This window comes from Homo sapiens, chromosome 5, assembly GCF_000001405.40.
Source record: "Homo sapiens chromosome 5, GRCh38.p14 Primary Assembly".
NCBI classification, from domain to species: domain Eukaryota; kingdom Metazoa; phylum Chordata; class Mammalia; order Primates; family Hominidae; genus Homo; species Homo sapiens.
In genome coordinates this window covers 131,844,619-131,865,232 of record NC_000005.10, presented here as the reverse complement: position 1 = coordinate 131,865,232, position 20,614 = coordinate 131,844,619, and the positions used below count along the sequence as shown (strand labels likewise).

Sequence of the window (20,614 nt, the reverse complement as noted above, 5' to 3'; positions counted from 1 at the left end):
AAAAAAAATCACAAAATCCCAGGAAAAAGAATTCAAAATTTTGATACTAAAGAAGCTTGGTGAGATGCAAGAGAATTCCAAAAAACAATACAAAGAAATCAGAAAAAAAATTCAGGATACAAATGAGAAATTTACCAAAGAGATGGATATTATTGAAAAAAGAACCAAACAGAAATTCTGGAAATGAAGGTTTCATTGAATGAAATACAAAATACACTCAAAAGATTCAACAATAGACTAAATCAAACAGAGGAAAGAATCTCAGAACTTGAAGACAGTTCTTTTGACATAACCCAGTTAGGCAAAAATAAAGAAAAAATTAACAAGAATGAGCAATGCCTTCATAACTATGGAACACTATCAAGTGACCAGATATTCAAAGTGTTGATATCCCTGAAGGCAAAGAGAAAATGAAAGGGTTTGAAAACCTATTTAATGAAATAATAGATGAAAAATTCTCAAGTCTAACAAGAGATTTAGGCATCCAGATACAGGAGGCTCAGTGATTTCCCAGACAGATACAACATAAAAATGTCTTCTCCATGGCATATTGTAGTCAAACTGTCTAAGTGAAAGACAGAGAATTCTAAAAGCAGCAGGAGAAAAGTATCTAGTCATAAAGGAAACCCCATTAGACTAACAGCAGACTCTCTCAGCAGAAGCCTTACAGGCCAGGAAAGAATGATATGATATATTCAAAGTGCTGAAAGAACAAATCTGCCAGCCGAGGATACTATATACAGCAAATTTGTTCTTCACCAATGAAGGAGAAATAAAGTATTTCCCAGACAATCAAATGCCGAGAAAATTCATTACTACTAAACTCAAGGGAGTCCTACAACTGGTGGTGAAATGATGATAGTTACTATCATGAAAACACATGAAACTATAAAACTCACAAGTAAAGCAAACACACAAAGGAGGAGGAGAAAGGACTCAAATGATTCTACTACAGAAAACCACCAAAACATGGTGACAAATAAGAGAAAAAGAAAGGAACAAAGAGTGTACAGATCAGAAAACAATTAAGAATATAACAGGAACAAAGCATGACATATCAATGATAAACTTGAATGTAAATGGATTAAATTCTCTACTTAAAAGATATAGACTGGCTGAATGATTAAAAAAACATGATTCAACTATATGCTGCCTACAAGAAATGCACTTTATCTGTAAAGAAAAATAGAGACTCAAAGGAATGGTGAATTACTCCATTTTCACATTGCTGATAAAAACATACCCGAGATTGGGAAGAAGAAAAGGTTTAATGGACTTACAGTTCCACATGGCTGGGGAGGCCTCACAATCATGCAGAAGGCGAGGAGGAGCAAGTCACGTCTTACATGGGTGGTGGCAGGCAGAGAGAGCTTGTGCAGGCAAACTTTCATTTTCAAAACCATCAGATCTCATGAGACGTATTCACTATCACAAGAACGGCATGGGGAAGACCTGCCCCCATGATTCAGTTATCTCTCAGAGGGTCCCTCCCATAACATGTGAGAATTATGGAAGCTACAAGATGAGATTTGGGTGGGGACACAGAGCCAAACTATATCAAATAGAAAAAGATATTCCATGCAAACAGTAACCATAACTGAGCAGGAGTAGTTATACTTAGATAAAACAGACTTTAAGTCAAAAACAGTAAAAAAAAAAAAAAAAAAAAAAAAAAGGACAAAGAAGGTCATTATATAATGATAAAAGGATCAATCTAGAAGAGCGTGTAACAATACTAAATACATATGCACCCAACAATGCTGCACTCAGATGTATAAAGCAAATATTGCTAGATCTAAAGAGAGACAGAATCCAATATAGTAATGGGGGAGACTTCAACACCCCACTCACTCAGCACTCAACAGATCATCTAGACAGAAAATCAACACATAAACATTGGATTTAAACTGGACTTTAGACCAAATGGACCTCACAGACATATACAGAACCTTTTAGCCAACAACTGCAGAATACATATTAACGTTCTTCTCATTTACACATGGGACGTTCTCCAGGATAGATCCTATGTTAGGCCACAAAACAAGTCTCAACAAACTTGAAAAAACTGAGATCATATCGAGTATCTTCTCAGGCCACAATGGAATAAAATTAGAAATCAATACCAAGAGGAAGTTTGGAAACTATACAGTACTTGAAAACTTAGCAAGATGCCGCTGAATGATCATTGGATCAATGAAGAAATTAAGATGGAAATAAAAAAATTCTTGAAATAAGGACAGGAACAGTGGCTCATGCTTGTAATCCCAGCACTTGGGGAGGCTGCAGTGGGAGGATCACTTGAGGCCAGGAGTTTGAGACCAGCCTGGGCAACATATTGAAACCCCGTTGTCTCCTAAAAATTTTAAAACTTAGTCAGGCATGGTGGTGCATGTCTGTAGTCCTAACTACTCAGGAGTCTGAGGCAGGAGGATCATTTGAGCCCAAAAGTTTGAGGCTGCAGGGAGCTACAGTAGTGCTAGTGCACTCTAGCCTGGGTGACAAAGTTAAGACCTTGTCTTTTAAAAAAAAATTCTTGAAATAAATAAAAATTGAAATACGAAACACCAAAACGTATGGAATATCATAAAAGCAGTGCTTAGAGGGAACTTTATAGCAATAAATGCCTACATCAAAAAAGTAGTATGTGCTTATGTAAATTTAATGTTATGTAAGAAAAAAAGTAGAATGATTTCCAGTAAAGAATTTAGTGATGCACTTTAAGGAATTAGAGAAGCAAGAACAAACAAAACCCAAAATTAGCAGAAGAAAATAATAATGATCAGAGCAGAAAGAAATGAAATAGAGACTAAAAAAATACAAAGTATCAATGAAATGAAAAGTTCGTTGTTCAAAAAGATAAAATTAATAAACCACTAGCTAGATTAACCAAGGAAAGAAGAGAGGAGACCCAAATAAACAAAATCAGGAATGAAAAAGGAGACGTTACTACTGATACCACAGAATTAGAAAACATCAGCAGAGACTTTTATGAATAACTATATACTAACTAGAAAACTTGGAGAAATGGGTAAACTCCTGGAAACATACAACCTACCAAGATTGAATGAGGAAGAAATAGAAAATCTGAACAGACCAATAATGAGTAGTGAGATTGAATCAATAATAAAAAGTCTCCCAATAAAGAAAAGCCCAGGATCAGATGGATTCAGTGCCAAATTCTACCAAACATATAAAGAAAAACTAATACCAGTCTTCCTCATACTATTTCAAAAAGTTGAAGAGGAGGGAATCCTCCCTAACTCACTCTTTGCGGCTAACATTACCCTGATTCCAAAACTAAACAAGGACACAACAACAACAGCAAAGAGAAAACTACAGGCCTGATGAACATAGACACAAAAATCCTCAACAAAATACTGGCAAACTAAATCCAACAGCACATCAAAAAGATAAAACACCCTGATTAAGTGGGTTTTATACCAGGGATGCAAGAATGGTTTAACCTGTGCAAATCAATAAATTTGATACATCACATTAACAGAACCAAGAACAAAAACTATATGATTATTTTTATAGATGCAGAAAAAGAATTTGATAAAACTGAACATCCTTCATGACAAAAACTCTCAGCAAACTAGGCATAGAAAGAACATACCTTAAAATAATAAAGGCAATATATGACAAAACCCACAGCTGACATCAGACTGAATGGGGAAAAGTTGAAAGCCTTTCCTCTAAGAACAAGACAAGAATGCCCACCTTCCCCATGCCCATTAAACATAGTACCAAAAGTTGTAGCCAGAGCAATCAGCCAAGAAAAAGGAATAAAAGAGGAACTCAAATTGACCCTCTTCTTTGGGAACTACATTATTCTTTTTTTTTTGAAGACAGAGTCTCTCTCTGTTGCCCAGGTTGGAGTGCAATGGTGCAATCTTGGCTCCTGCAACCTCCACCTCCCGGGTTTAAGCAGTTATCCTACCTCAGCCTCCCAAGTAGCTGGGACTACAGGCATGCACCACCATGCCCAGCTAATGTTTGTATTTTTAGTAGAAACAGGGTTTCACCATGTTGGCCAGGATGGTCTCGATCTCTTGACCTCATGATCCGCCCACTTCGGCCTCCCAAAGTGCTGGGATTACAGGCATGAACCACTGCACTTGGCCTATTCTTATTTTTAGAAAACCAAAAGACTCCATCAAAAAACTCTTAGGGCTGGGCATGGTGGCTCATGCCTGTAATCACAGCACTTTGGGAGGCCAAGGCAGGCAATCACTTGAGGCCAAGAGTTGGAGACCAGCCTGGCCAACATGGCAAAACCCCATGTCTGCTAAAAAATACAAAAATTAGCTGGGCATGGTGGTGCATGCCTGTAATCCCAGCTACTCAGGAGGCTGAGGCACTAGAATCACTTGAGCCCAGGAGGTGGAGGTTGCAGTGAGCCAAGATTGTGCCACTGCACTTCAGCCTGAGTGACAGAGCAAGACTCTCTCTCAAAAAAAAAAAAAAAAAAAAAAAAAGCCAAACAGGCTGGGCATGGTGGCTCACGCCTGTAATCCCAGCACTTTGGGAGCCTGAGGTGGGTGGATCATGAGGTGAGGAGTTCAAGACCAGCCTGGCCAAGATAGTGAAACCCCGTCTCTACTAAAAATAAAAAAAAAAATTATCCTGGCATGGTGGTGGGTGCCTATAATCCCAGCTGCTTGGGAGGCTGAGGCAGAGAATTGCTTGAACCTGGGAGGCGGAGGTTGCAGTCAGCCGAGATCACACCACTGCAGTCCAGTGTGGGCAACAGAGCAAGACTCTGTCTCAAAAAACAAACAAACAAAAAAAACAACTGTTAGAACTGAACCAAATTCAGTGAAGCCGCAGGATGCAAACAAGCAAAAATCAGCATTTCTATACACCAATAATATCTGAAAAAAAATCAAGAAGGCAATCACATTTACAACAGCTGCAAAACAAACCAACAAAACCAAAAAAAAAAAAAAAAACTAGGCATAAATTTAACCAAGAAGTGAAAGATCTCTACAAGGAAAATTACAAAACACTGATGAAAGAAATTGAAGAAGAAACAAGACATCTCATGCTCATGGATCAGAAGAATTCATATCATTAGACATGACCATACTACCTAAAGCAATCTATAGATTCAGTGCAATCTCTAACTACATATCAATGTAGTTTTTCACAGAACTAGAAAAAACAACGCTAAAATTCATATGGAACCAAAAAAGATCCAGAATAGTCAAAGCAGTCCTAAGCAAAAGGAACAAGCTCAAGGCACTACACTACCTGACTTCAAAATATATTACAAGGCTGTGCTAACCCAAACAGCATGATATTGGTAGAAAAATAGACACAGAGACCAAAGGAAAAGAATAGAGAACCCAGGAATGAATCCACGTATTTACAGCCAACTGATCTTCAACAAAGCCATCAAGAACATACACGGGGGAAAGGACAGTCTCTCCAGTAAACGATGCTCAGAAAACTGGATATCCCCATGCAGAAGAATGAAACTAGACCCCTATTCCTCACCTTTATTAGGCTGTTCTTGTGTTGTGATTTAAAAAAATACCTAAGACTGGGTAATTTATAAGAAAAGAGATTTAATTGACTCACAGTTCTGCAGCTTGTACAGGAAACATGGCAGCATCTGCTTCTGGGGAGGCCTCAGGGAGCTTTTACTCATGGTGGAAGGCAAAGCAGGAACAGGCACTTCATATGGCAAAAGCAGGAACAAAAGAGAAAGGGTGGGAGAGATGCTATACTTTTAAACAACCAGATCTTGTAAGAACTCACTCTATCAAGAGAACAGCACTAAGGGGATGGTGCTAAGCCATTCCAGAGAAATCTATCCCCATTATCCAATAACCTCCCACCAGGCCCCACCTCCATCATTGGGGATTTCAATTCAACATGAGATTTGGATGGGAACACATATTCACACTACATCATCACTGTCTACCAAAATCAACTCAAAATGGATTAAAGACTTAAGCATACTGGAACTGGACTCCTTCCTTACACCTGAATAGTATTCCATGGTGTATATGTACCACATTTTCTTTATCCAGTCTACCATTGATGGGCATTTAGATTGATTCCATGTCTTTGCTATGTGAATAGTGCTGCATTGAACATACGTGTGCAGGTGTCTTTATGGTAGAATGATTTATATTCCTTTGAGTATATACCCAATAATGGTATTGCTGAGTCGAGTGGTAGTTCTGCGTTGAGTTCTTTGAGAAATCACCAAATTGCTTTCCACCGTGGCTGAACTAATTTATATTCCCACCAGCAGTGGATAAGCATTCCCCTTTTCTCCACAATCTTGCTAGCATCTATTAGTTTTTGACTTTTTTAATAAGTCATTCTGACTGGTGTGAGATGGTATTTCATTGTGGTTTTGATTTGCATTTATCTAATGATTAGTGGTGAGCATTTTTTCATACGCTTGTTGGCTGTGCATATATCTTCTTTTGATAATGTCTGTTTATGCCTTTGCCCACTTTTTAATGGAGCTGTTTGGTTTTTGCTTGTAAATTTAAGTTCCTTATATATCCTGGATATCAGACCTTTGTCGGATGCATAGTTTGCAAATATTTTCTCCCATTTTGTAGGTTGTCTGTTTACTCTCTTGATAGTTTCATTTGCTGTGCGGAAGCTCTTTTGTTTAATTAGGTCCCATTTGTCAATTTTTGTTTTTGTTGCATTTGCTTTTGGCATCTTCCTCATGAAATCTTTGCCAGGGTCTATGTTCAGAATGGTATTTTGTTGGTTTTCTCCTAGAGTTTTTATAGTTTTAGGTCTTACATTTAAGTGTTTAGTCCATCTTGATTTTTGTATATGGTATAAGGAAGGAGTTCAGTTTCAGTCTTCTGAATATGGCTGGCCAGTTATCCCAGCACCATTTCTTGAATAAAACAGTCCTTTCCCCATTGCTTGTTTTTGTCAGCTTTGTCGAAGATCAGATGGTTGTAGGTGTGCAGCTTTATTTCTGGGCTCTCTATTCTGTTCCATTGGTCTATGTGTCTGTTAAGTTTGTTTGAGGAAGATTTTAGAGGGCCAGAGCTCAGCTCAGCATTCCTAGTTTGACTGCTCTAACTCTAAGGGTGCTGGTACCAGGCCCCCAGCTTTGTTCTCTGGTCTCAGGAGCTTAGGAACTCGCTGCACTGGAGGGGCCCGGTGTTCCTGCTCTGCTGGCCACAGCACTGTGATGGGGAGTGCTGGCCAGTGCCTTTCCTCAGGCAGTGGCATAGCATAGCAGGATCTATGCTAGCTTGAGTGTGGCAGCAGCAGCAGTGGTGGGCTGGGGTGAACAGTTGCTGGCGGGAGTGAGGCACTGGATTCTGTACACACCCTCATGCAGGCCACATTGGCAGGGCAGAGTGCCGCACATTAGCGGTGGCAGGGTGTGCTCACACCAGCAGTGGTGGAGAGGCAGGGTGCATGTACACACACATGCCAGTGGGAGAGAGGAAGTATGGTCACCTGCGCTTGCGGGCCAGCAAAGCAGTGGAGAGGACCTTGGGCGAGTGCATGACAGCAAAGTGAGGTGGAGGAAGGCTGTAAGGGAGTGGAGGCTGTAGGTAGGCAGGTGCGCATCCATGGTGGCTGGTCAGCGGGAGCTCTCTGACGGTGAGGCATGGTCTGCTAGTGAAGGAGCTATGAGAAGGGCCCCTGGGAAGCACCCTGGTTAGGCATGCGAGGCTGTGCCACAAGCGGGCATGCCATGCTGGGGCCCCAGGAGAGGCTGGCAGATGAGGACACTCAGATCGGACTGGACATATCTCATGGACAAGACTGCCCTACTCTGTCCAGGTCCTACAGTTACCCAAAAGCTAAAGCCACCTAGAAGAGTATGGCGAGCCTTGGAGGATGGGCATCCCTGGCCATCCTGCTCCACCTGTGTTTCGAACTATTTTGTCTTTCAGCAGATTTTTTAACTTAAATGTGTGACGTTATTTTTTTCCAGAAAATCATTTATTTCTAAGTTTAAATCTTTTTTTCAAGTTGAAATAATAGGACATGTGAGAAGTGCTGGAAATGTTTTTATAGCACTATAAAATGTATTTCTTGATTATGAATTTGTTTCAGCCTGGAAAAGATTCTGAACATAGAGTTACAAATTTTCAGTTAAACTCTCATTATCTAAAAGTCAAGGTTCCGTCTTCCCACTATAGGTCTGCTTTTATGTTAAATGATGAGTTAATGGCTGCAGCACACCAACATGGCACATGTATACATATGTAACTAACCTGCACGTTGTGCACATGTACCCTAAAACTTAAAGTATAATAAAAATAAATAAATAAATAAAAAGAAAAAAAAAAGAAAGCAATGCAGGTAGAACAGTTTAGTTCTGCTGCCTCAGTCCCCAAAACCTGCATTGATAAGAACTAGTCTTTTATTAACTAATATTTTTTGAAAAGACTATAAATATGTACTGATTGGGAAGATTTAGAAATATATATATATATATTTTAACAAATCTAAGAAAAAATGTAGGGAAGCTATATACTTACAGCTGCATACAAGCTGATGTTTTAAAATTGGACTGATAGTTGACAATTATGTCAAATGAGACCTCTGGGAAGCAGATACTCAGACAGTATAAAGAGTTCAAACATCAGGGGCTAATGACTAAGAAAGGAAGGCAGGGAAGAAGCAGGATTATGCAGGGATAGCCCCAGTCTTCAGTGCAGATCTGACAGAAGCTCTCAACAATGGGGAGTTCTGGAGAAAAGATTGTCTATTATGAAAGTCTTGTGTTGGACTGTTATGCCCAGACATTGGCTGGGGGCTGCTTGAAAAGATGGTGGCCTCAGCATGAAAGCTGAAGCATATTCTAAAGATGTTGTGCTTGGGGGCTGTCAGCTAACTACACTCCTTGCACTGGAACAGCTGGTTCTTTGTTTGAAGAAATGTGAGCAGAGGACCTTCAGGACTGCCACAATGATGATGATAATAGTTATCATTGAGTAGCTCCTACTCTCCAGACACCATAGGTTCTTTTTACATATATTATTTGTAACCCTTGCATCACAGTCCCTAGAGGTAGAATAACCTTCATTGTTGAAATGCGAAAACTAAATATAGCTAGTAAGTTAGAGGCTGATGTGTTCATTTTATTGTAAATATACCCATAAACATTTCTGACAAAAATTTTCCTAATAAACTATTCCAGATTATGTCTTGTACCAACGATCAGTTTAAAAGCTTTTAAGCCAGAAGGGAAAGAAAGGTTGAAAGTAAGATTCCAGACTTGACATCTTACAAGAGACACCTACTCAAAAAGAACATTTATCAGAAGGATATGGTTGCTTCATGGAGTCTAAAGGCCGAAAAGGCAGCTGATTTCTAGAAATAAAGCTGCCTGTCTCTGTCTGTTTGACTATCACTCTTACTTTCTACTCTACCTTTCTACCCGTTTCTTTGCTTTTGCTATCCTAGATTTTCTCTCTCTTGCAGTCTCAAGCTCTGTCTCTTTTCCTTGGTCTCTGTCTTGATCTCTCTCACTGTCCTTCTCTGTCTCTCTCTCTCAATCTCTGCTCACAATCTATGTTGGTTTCTGTCTTCTCTGTCTTTCTCTTTTTTCCTCTCTCCTTCTCTTGGTCTTCCTCTTTTTCTCTCCTTCTCTGTCTTTTGCTTTTCATTCTTCCTCTCCTACCTCCTCTCCTCTCCTCTACCTCTTCCTTCATCTCCTCTCCATTCCCCTCTTCTCCCTTCCTCCCTCTCTCTCTTTTGGCCTGTCGCTTCCTCGCTTTCTGTCACTTTCTTTAGGTCTTGTATCTTGTCTGTTTCTCTCCTCACTCTGTCTTTTACTCTTTCTTGCTTTGTCTACCTGTCTGTCTGTCTGCCTCTTTGTATCTTCAAAAAGTAGAAAATGAGCCTACATCCTACTTTATAATTTCTTTAACTTTGATGTTCCATAAATGAAAGTATCTATATACATTTAACGTTATATATTTTAAACCAATTATCCTTGCTACATATATTTCACAGCTCCAGAAATAACTTATACTTTCTTTCCACAAAAAGTACAATAATATACTAAGAATTAAATGCTGAAAGTAAAATACCTTTCTTAGTAGTTAACAAAGATAACTGAAGCGCCATTTCCTAACTCAACACTCTAATTAGCTTTTCTTTCTAAATTAATAGTAATTTCAACCAAGGTATTCATTTCAACCAAGGTATTCTCATATAGTTGCTATGCCATATAGAGTTCTCTTGGATGTTGTTTGATCTAGCTCAAGTGAGAAAATTCTTTAGTTTCCTGTGAAGTGGTTTAAAATTTAATGAACAGATTAAGGATTTTCTTAGTACTGTACATTATGATCTGGTCAACTAACTTGAAATTGTAGTTTTACTATACTAAAATAGTTTATTTCTTTCTGCTGTTCAATCCCTGTTTTATAAAAACATTTATAGAAAACAAATTCCAGTACTCCTGGTAAGAAAAACAGAGGCCTTTTAACAAGTACTCCATCTTCAGAGACAGCTGGTTTTGTGGTAAGTATTAGCATTTGGCACTTGTAGTATCTGTTTTCTGGCTCCTCCTCTCCCCATTCTTCTATTTTTCTCATATCAGGGAAATATTGCCTATGGAGAATAATATCTGTGTTTTTCTGTTGCTTAAGCACACTTTCAATGAAAGTACTTTGTATACTACTATACATGCAAGAGAGAAGGAAAAATTAGAGTACTGCAGCAACAACCAGGATTCTTCTGTTTTTTCCTTTCAGTTTTAAAAATTGTGATGAAATATATATAACATAAAATTTATAATTTTAACCATTTTTAAGTGTACAGTTGAAGTATATTCATTCACATCATTATGCAACCATCACCACTATTCATCTCTAGAACTTTTTTCATCTTGCAAAACTGAAATTCCATATGCATTAAACAGTAACTTCCTGCTCCTCCCTACCCCACCCCTGGAAACCACCATTTTACTTTCTGTTTCTATAAATTTGACTACTCTAGGTACCTCATATAAGTGGAACCATACAGTATTTGTCCTTTGTGACTAGTTTATGTCACTTAGCATGGCATCTTCAAATTCATCTATGTTACAGCATGCATCAGAATTTTATTTTTAAGGATGAATTGATACTCCATTGTATGTATATGACACATTTTGTTTATCCATTCATCTATTGATGGACAATTGGGTTGCTTCTGCCTTTTGACAATTGTGAATAATGCTGCTATGAACATGGGTGTACAAATATATGTTTGAGTCCCTGCTTTCAATTCTTTGGGTATGTATCTAGAAGTGGAATTGCTACAGCATATTGTAATTCAATTTTTCTTTTTGAGGAACCACCACACTGTTTTCCTTAGTAGCTGTACCATTTTACATTCCCACTAGCAAAATGCACAAGGGTTCCAGTTTCTCTACTTCCTTGCCAGCACTTGTTATTTTCTTTTTTGTAATAGTAGTTCTTATGGATGTGAGGTGGTATCTCATTATGGTTTTGATTTGTATTTCCCTAATAAGGATGACACTGAGCATCTTTTAATGTGTTAATTAGCTATTTGTATATCTTTTTTGGGAAAATATCTATTCAAGTCCTTTGTTTATTTTTGAATTTTTAATTGTTGAGTTGTAGGAGTTCTTCATATATCTGAGATGTTAACCCATTACCCAACATATGATTTACAAATAATTTGCCCCCTTCCATGGGTTGCCTTTTCACTCTGTTGATAGTGTCCTTTGATGCACAAATGTTTTTTATTTTGTCATAGTAAAATTTGTCTTTTTCTTTTCTCACCTGTTCTTTTGATGTCATATCCAAGAAATGATTATCAAATCCAGTGTCATCAAGTCTTCAGTCAAATATCCAATGTTCCTCTTCAGTGTGAGCAATCCTCACAGAGGTCCATGCAGCGGCTTACATAGCAGTGTGGGGACTGCTCAGGCACAAGGAGATGAAATCCAGTATCTTTTGTAACAGCACTTATGCATAACGTCCATGGTCTCCACAAAGGACATGTGTAATTACAATGTCCCTGCACTCAGGGAAACTCAAAGTATTTTAGCTTTTATAGTGCAGTAGTTATTTATTTATAGTGCATTTATAGTTCCTCCTATAGATACAATTTTCCAATCAGACATTATTTTTACCATAAGCAATGTTACCTAGTAACACAGTTGACATTCTTACACTTATCAGGTTCCTAGGGGAAAGGAGTTACAGATTTAACCAATAGATGCTCATGATGGGAGAAAGGATTTTGTTAATCCTCTGCTCACAGTCTTTCCAGTGGCCCAAAAATCAATACTTTTTCCAGAAAATGAGTGTCTCATTTTTTATTCATTCTTGGTTGATATTTGGAGTTAAAATGTATTGATGAATAACAAATGTACCAAAATGATTTTTTTCGTGGCAAAACTAATTTAGTGACTATTTTACAAATATCAACATATTTTTAAATTTGAGGTACAAGTTACGTTTTATAAAACTCAGTATACTAAAGTATATAATTCAGTGGTTTTTAGCATACTTAAAAACTGTGCAACTATCATCATGATCCTATTTAAGAACATTTTCATCACCCTATTCGTTAATAGTCAGCCCTCATCCCCCCATCCCACCCTCCAGTCCAAAGAAACTACTGATTTAGTTTCTGTCTCTATAGGTTTGCTCTTTCTGAGTATTTCATATAAATGAGATCATATAACATGTGGCGTTTTGTGCCTGGTTTCTTTCACTTAGCATAATGTTTTAAAAATTCATCTATGTTATAGCAGGTATCAGTACTGCATTCCTTTTTTATGACCTATGTATTAGTCTGTTTCCACACTGCTATAAAGACATACCCAAGACTGGGTAACTTATAAAGAAAAGAGGTTCAATTGGCTCACAGTTCCGCATGGCTGGGGAGGCCTCAGGAAACTTACAATCATGGTGGAAGGGGAAGAGGCCTGTCTTACATGGCAACAGAGGAGAGAGCATGGAAGAGCAGGGAAAACTACCCTATAAAACCATCAGATCTCGGGAAAACTCACTCACTATCATCAGAACAGTATGGAGAAAACCACCCCCATGATTCAATCACCTCACACCGGGTCCCTCCCTTGACCTATGGGGATTATGGGGATTACAATTCAAGATGAGATTTGAGTAGAGACACAGCCAAACCAAATCAACTGAATTATACTCCATTATATACATATACCATATTTTGTTTATCAATTCAGTTTATGCGCATTTATTTCCATTTATTATCTATTATGAATAATACTGTTATGAACATTTGTTGACAAGTGTTTGTTAAACATGTTTTCAGTTGTCTTAACTATATACAGTCATCCCTCAGTATTCATGGGGAATTGGTTCCAGGACTTCTCAAAGATACCAAAATATGTGGATGCTAAAGTTCCTGATGTAAAATGGCATAGTGTTGGTTTTTTGCATATAACCTACGTGCATCCTGCACACCTTAAATCATCTCTAAATCAATCAGTCATCTTTTTTGGAAATTTTTAATTTGGTACAGAAATGTGTGGTGATTTCAGTAACCTGATAGAAAAATGGATATGGCACTTAGGAGAGAGTTCTATGTTAGAGATAGTGATTTAAAAATCTCTGGTGTATCATAGCAAACAAAAATTCCTAATTAAAAAATTACTTTAAAATGAAAGAATGTTATAACCCATTTTACAGATTGATTTGTCTCTAAACATGCATCTTTTGAAGAGTTATGTCCAAATGTCAGTAATTACGTTTATTCAGATGAAATTGTTCCTGTGTCAAGTTTACAGGAAAATGCTTCCAATGAGATGGTATTTTTCAACTTTTCTTTAATTACTTAAAAATCATTGCTTTTGCAATGTTTAACTTCCACAAAACAATAATGTATTCTTTTATAGATTGATTTGTCCTCAGTGCAAAAAGCATCTTTTGAAGAACTATTTCCAAATGTCAGCAATTATGTTAATTCAAATGAAATTGTTCCTGTGTCAAGTTTGCAGGAAAATTCTTCAAATGAGGTAGTATTTTCCATTTTTCCTTCAATTACTAAAGGAAATAATTACTGTTACATTAGATACTTTGTATATGAGGTGCTATAAGAAATCTCTTAACTCATGAGAAACATAATTTGCAAATATTTTCTCCTATTCTGTGGGTTGCCTTTTTACACTTTGGTTAGGGTCTTTGATGCACAAAATTGTATATTTTTTATGAAGTACAGTTTGTCTATTTTTTCTTTTCTTGCTCATTCCTTTGGTGTCCTGTGCAAGAAATCACAGCCAAATCAAATGTCTAAAGCTTTTTGCCTTTTTCTTTTCTTTTCTTTCTTTTTTTTTGACAGAGTCTCACTCTGTCCTCTCTGCTGGAGTGCCAGGGTGCAGTCAAGGCTCACAGACTCACTGCAGCCTTGACTTCCAGGATTTAGGTGATTCTGCCATCTCAGCCTCTCGAATAGCTAGGACTGCAGGCATACACCACCATGCCCAGCTAATTTTTTGTATTTTTTGTAGAGACTGGGTTTCGTTATGGTGCCCAGGCTATTGCCCTGTATTTTCTTCAATTTTTTTTTGTTTTAGGTCTTGTATTTAGGTCATTGATCCATTTTGAGTTAATTTTTGTGTATAGTATTAGGTAAGGGTCCAGCTTCATTCTTTTGCATGTAGATATCCAGTTTTCTCAGCATCATTTGTTGAAGAGATCATCCTTTCCCCCATTGAATGGTCTGGCCCCCTTGCCAAAAATCATTTAACCATATATGTGAGGGTTTATTCCTGAGTTCTCTATTCCATTGATCTATATGTCTGTCTTTATGTTAGTACCATATGGCTTTGATTACTGTAGCTTTGTACATTTTGAAATCAGGAAGTGTCAGTCCTCCAGCTTTGTTCTTCTTTTTCATTTTTGTTTTTACTATTCAGGATCCCTTGAGATTCCATGTGAATTTTAAAGTGGGTTTTTCTGTTTCTGCAATAAACATCATTGGGGTTTTGATAGAGATTGAATGGAATCTGTAGATCACCCTAGGTAGTAATGGCATCTTAACAGTATTGCATCTTCCAATCCATAAACATGGGATGTGTTTTCATTTATTTATGTTTTCTTTAATTTATTTTACCAATGTTTTATAGTTTTTATTGTGTAGGTCTTTGACTTATTTGGTTAATTCCTAAATATTCTTTTGGATGCTATTATGAATTGAATTGTAATTTATTTTCTTTTTTTTTGTTTTTTTTGGTAATTTCTTTTCAAATTGCTTATGTTAGTGTGTAGAAATTCACCTGATTTTTGTGTATTGACTTTGTGTCCTGTTAATTTGCTGAATTCATTTATTCTAATAATTTTTAATTCAATCTTTAAGGTTTTCCACAGTGATACCATGTTGTCTGTGAACAGAGATAATTTTACTTCTTGCTTTACAATTTGGATGCCTTTTATTTCTTTTCCTAATCGCCTAATTGCTCCGGCTAGAACTATCAGTAGTATGTTGAAAATGCAGACATCCTTGCCTTTTTCTTCATCTTAGAGGAAAAGCTTTCCATCTTTCACCATTGAATGTGATGTTTACTGTGGGTTTTCATATATGGCTGTATTCGTTCATTTTCACATTGCTATAAAGAAATACCTGAGACTGGGTAATTTATAAAGAAAAGAGGTTTCTTTATATATATAAAGAAAAGAGGTTTCTTTATATATATAAAGAAAAGAGGTTTCTTTATATATATAAAGAAAAGAGGTTTCTTTATATATATAAAGAAAAGAGGTTTCTTTATATATATAAAGAAAAGAGGTTTCTTTATATATATAAAGAAAAGAGGTTTCTTTATATATATAAAGAAAAGAGGTTTCTTTATATATATAAAGAAAAGAGGTTTCTTTATATATATAAAGAAAAGAGGTTTCTTTATATATATAAAGAAAAGAGGTTCCAATTATGGTGAAAGGCAAAAGGGGAGCAAGGCATCTTACATGGCCAGAGCAGGAGGAAGAGAGAAAATGGGGAGGTGCCACACACTTTTAAACAACAAGATCTCACAATAACTCCCCCACTAGAACAGCAACAAGGGCATGGTGCTAAACAATTGGGGACCACCCCTGTGAAGTACCACTCCCATGATCCAGTCACCTCCCACCAGGGCCCACCTCCAACATTGGGGATTACAATTTCACATGAGATTTGGGCAGGGACACAAATCCAAACCGTATCAATGGCTTTTATTTTGTTGAAGTAGTTTCCTTCAATTCCTAGTTTATTGTTTTTATCACAAAATGGTATTGAATTTTGTCAAATGCTTTTTCAGCATCAGTTGAGAAGATCAGTTGTTTTTTCCTTTCATTCTACTATATGTGGTATATTACAGTGATTGATTTTTTTTAAGTCTCGCCAAATTAAGCAGAAACATTGATTGGCTTTTGTATGTTGAACCATCCTTGCATTCCACGAATAAAACCCATTTAGTTGTGGCCTATAATAATTTTAATATGCTGCTGAATTTGGTTTGCTAGTAATTTGTTGAGGATTTTTCTTCAATGTTCTAGTGGATATTGGCCTGTAGTTTTCTTTTCATGTATTGTCCAGAAAAGACACTTTGTTTGACTTTGGGTAATGTTGGTCTCATAGAATGAGTTACAAATCATTCCTTTCTCTTCTTGGAAAGTTAGAGAAGTATTGGTTTTAGTTCTTTAAATGTTTGGTAGAATTCACCAGGGAAGGCATCAGAATTAGGGCTTTTCCTTGTTGGGAGTTTTTTCATTACTGATTCAATCTCCCTACTAGTTCTGTAGGTATATTCTGGTTTTCTATTTCTGCATGATTTAGTATTGAGAGGCTTTGTGTTTATAGGTATTTGTTTATTTCATCTAGGTTATCAAATTTGTTGATATACAATTGTTCATAATACTCTCTTTGTAATTCTCTTTTTGGTAGAATTGGCAGTAATGTCACCACTTTCATTTCTGACTTTAGTAATTTAAGTCTTCTTTCCCTTTTTATTAGTATTTTTTCATTAAAGGTTTGCCAGTTTTGTTGCTATTTTCAAAGAACCAATTTTGGTTTGATTGATTTTCCTTATGATTTTCTATTCTCTATTTTGTTTCTGTCTGCTCTAATCTTTATTATTTCCATCCTTCTGCTAGCTTTGGGTTTAGATGGTTCTTCTTTTCTAGTTCCTTAAGTTGTAAAGTTAGGTTGTTGATTTGAGACATTTCTTGTTTTTCAATTTAAGCATTTATAGCCATAAATTTCCCTTTAAGCACTGCTTTCACTAAATCCCGTAAGTTTGGTTATGTTGTGGTTTTGTTTTCATTTGTCTCTAAGTATTTTCTAATTTCCCTTGTGATTTCTACTTTGGCCCATTGGTGTTTAAGAGTATGTTGTTTAATTTTCACAGTTTGTTGAATTTTTCAGTTTCACAAACTCTGGTTTTTTTTAATGACTTCATTCTATTTTGGTCAGACAAAATACTTTGTATGATATCTATCTTTTAAAATATACTGAGACTTAATTTATGGCCTGATACCTGGTCTATCCTGTAAAATATCCCATGTGCACTTGAGAAGAATATATATGCTGTTATTTGAAAGATTGTTTTGTATATATGTTACACTTAATTGATTGTAAGTCCTCTATTTTCATATTCTCTTCTGCCTGGTTATTCTATCAATTATTGAGAGAGAGGTATTGAAGTCTTCAACTATTATTATAGAACTGTCTATTTTTCCCTTCAGTTCTGTCAGTTTTTACTTCATATATTTTGATGGTCTGTCATTCACTGTGTAAATGTTTATAATTGTTATATGTTCTTGCTATCTTGAGTCTTTTATTAATATATAATATTCATCTTTGTCTCTTATAACCTTTTGATTGAAACTTTATCTGATATTATTATAGCTGCCCCTGCTCTCTTTTGTTACTATTTACATGGAGTAGCTTTTTCTGTTTCACTTTTAATTTATTTATGTCTTTGGATCTAAAGTGAGTCTCTTATAAACAACATATAGCATATGTTTTTTATCCATTTTGCCAATCCCAGTTTTTCTATGGGAGAATTTAATTTGTTTATTTAAAATACTTACTGATAAGGACAGACTTATTTTTGTCATTTTGCTCATTGTTCTCTATATGCCTTTATCTTTTTTTGTCCTTCACTTTCTACATTACTGTCTTCTTTTGTGGTTAATTGATTTTTTGTAGTGAAATATTTGAATTTATTTCTTATTTCCTTTTGTGTATATTCTATAGCTATTTTCTTTGTGGTTACCAGAGGGATTACCTTTAGCAGTCTGAAGTTATGATACTCTAATTTGAATTTATTTAGCAGTCTAAAGTTATGATACTCTAATTAGAATTTATGGTTAACTTCAATGACATACAAAAACTTTGCCCCTTTACTTCACCCCTTTCAGATGATGATGTTAACATTTTTATACATCATGTGCCTTAAAACATAAATTAATAATTTTTTTGAGATGGAAACTCATTCTATTGCCCAGGCTGAGTGTAGTGGCATGATCATGACTCACTGCAACCTCCACCTCCCAGGCTCAAGCAGTCCTCCCAGTTTGGCTTCCTGAGTAGGTGGGACTGCAGGCATGCACAACCACGTCCAGCTAATTTTTGTATTTTTTGTAGAGACAGGGTTTTGTCATGTTTGTCAGGCTGGCCTCCAACTCCTGGGCCTAAGCAGTCTGCCTGCAGCTGAGATTACAGGTGTCAGCCACCATGCCCAGTCAATAATACTTTTAAACACTTTAGTCTTTTAAATTATGAAAATAAAATATGAGTTACAAACCAATGTTACAATAATACTAGCTCTTATACCAATAATTATTTTTTAAATTTATTAGTCTCTTAAATCATATAGAAAACAAGAAGTAGAGTTATAAATTGTTGTTATAATAATAGTAGCTTTTATAATTGCCCCTTCTATTTGCCTTTATTTAGATCTTCATTTCTTCATACAACTTCAAGGTACTGTCTAGTGTCCTTTCATTTCACCTTATAGGACTCCCTTAAGCATTTCTTGCAGGGCAAATCTAGTGGTAACTACCTCCCTCAGCTTTGTTTATCTGGGAATGTCTTAATTTCTCCCTCATTTTTGAAGGACAGTTTTACTGGATGTAGGATATTTGGTTCACAGATATTTTTCTTTTAGCACTTTGAATTTATAAGCCCACTGCCTTCTGGTAGCCAACATTTCTGACAAGAAATCTGTTGATTATCTTATAAAGATCCCTTGTGTGCAACAAGTCACTTCTCTTGCTGCTTTCAGGATTCTTTGTCTTTCTTTCTAAAGTTTGATTATAATAAGTGTGGGTGTCTTTCAGTTCATCTTACTTGGAGTTTGTTGAGCTTCTTAGATGTTTATGTCTTTTATCAAATTTGGAAAATTTCAGTCATTATTTCTTCTAATATTCTCTCTTCCCTCTTTTCTCATTCTTTTCCTTCTGGGACTTTCACAATATATATGTAGGTTTGCTTGATGGTGTCCCACAGGTCTCTTACACTGTTCATTTTTCTTCAATTTTTAAATTTATTTTCTTCAGACTAAATAGATTCATTGTCCTATTTTCAAGTTTATAGATTCTTCTGCCTGCTTAAATATGCCCTTGGATCTTTCTAGTGAATTTTTCCTTTCAGTTATTGTACTTTTAAGCTCTAGATTTTTTTTTTGCTTCTTTTGAGGTTTTCTGTTTTTGTTGATATTTTAATTTTGTTTATACATAGTTTTTTTGACTTTTTTTCACATCTTCCTTTAGTTCTTTGAGCATCTTTTAAAGAGAATTGTTTTAAAGTTTTTGAATACATTTATCATCAGTTCCTTTTTAGAGGCAGTTTCTGCTGATTTTCTTTTCCATTTGAATGTACCATACTTTTCTGTTTCTTTTATGCCTTTTGATTTTTTTGTTAAAAACTGGATGTTTGAATATAATAATGTAGTAAATGTGGAAATGAGTCTCTCCACCCTTCTTAGACTTTGCCATCTTTTTTTTTTTTTTTTTTTTTTTTTTTTAAGACGAAGTCTTCTCGCTCTGTCACCCAGGCTGGAGTGCAGTGGTGCCATCTCGGCTCACTGCAAACTCTGCCTCCCAGGTTCATGCCATTCTCCTGCCTCAGTGTCTGGAGTAGCTGGGACTACAGGTGCCCACGACCATGCCTGGCTAATTTTTTGTGTTTTTAATAGAGATGAGGTTTCACTGTGTTAGCCAGGATGGTCTCGATCTCCTGACCTCATGATCCACCCGCCTCGGCCTCCCAAAGTGCTGGGATTATAGGCGTGAGCCACCGCACCCAGCCAACTTTGGCATCTTTTGTAATTGTTTTTGTTTTCATTGTCATAGGCTACTTGTATGCCAAAGATCAGCTTGAGGTGTAAACTTAAGGTCTTCTTAGGTCTTTTCTGAGGTTTGCATATTTTTCTAGACATGCACAGTCACTGTCTAGCTTTCCTTGTATATGCAGTTGTTTTTTAATGTCTTAGCCATTATTGTGTACCTCCTAAAAGGAGAAAAGAAAAAAATTGAGAAAAAAAGGGTTCTTGCTTGTTAAATCTTCAGGTACTGTTCCCAATATTGTGTAAGCATTAGCACTATTTCTGCTAATCTTTTCAGATAGTTCTTTTACTGGCCTCAGATAGTTTCTTCGTAAGCTTGTACTGATCAGTACT

At 36.3% G+C, this 20,614-nt stretch overlaps 1 protein-coding gene across 1 annotated transcript in view; it reads left to right on the top strand.

Annotated features, from left to right (window-relative positions):
• MEIKIN (meiotic kinetochore factor) overlaps nucleotides 1-20,614 on the top strand; it is a 138,674-nt gene that overhangs the window by 80,431 nt on the left and 37,629 nt on the right. The window contains exons 10-11 of the mRNA NM_001303622.2: nucleotides 10,399-10,479; nucleotides 13,850-13,969. Coding sequence (NP_001290551.1) covers nucleotides 10,399-10,479; nucleotides 13,850-13,969 — 201 coding nt within the window. The remainder of the gene's footprint in view (nucleotides 1-10,398; nucleotides 10,480-13,849; nucleotides 13,970-20,614) is intronic.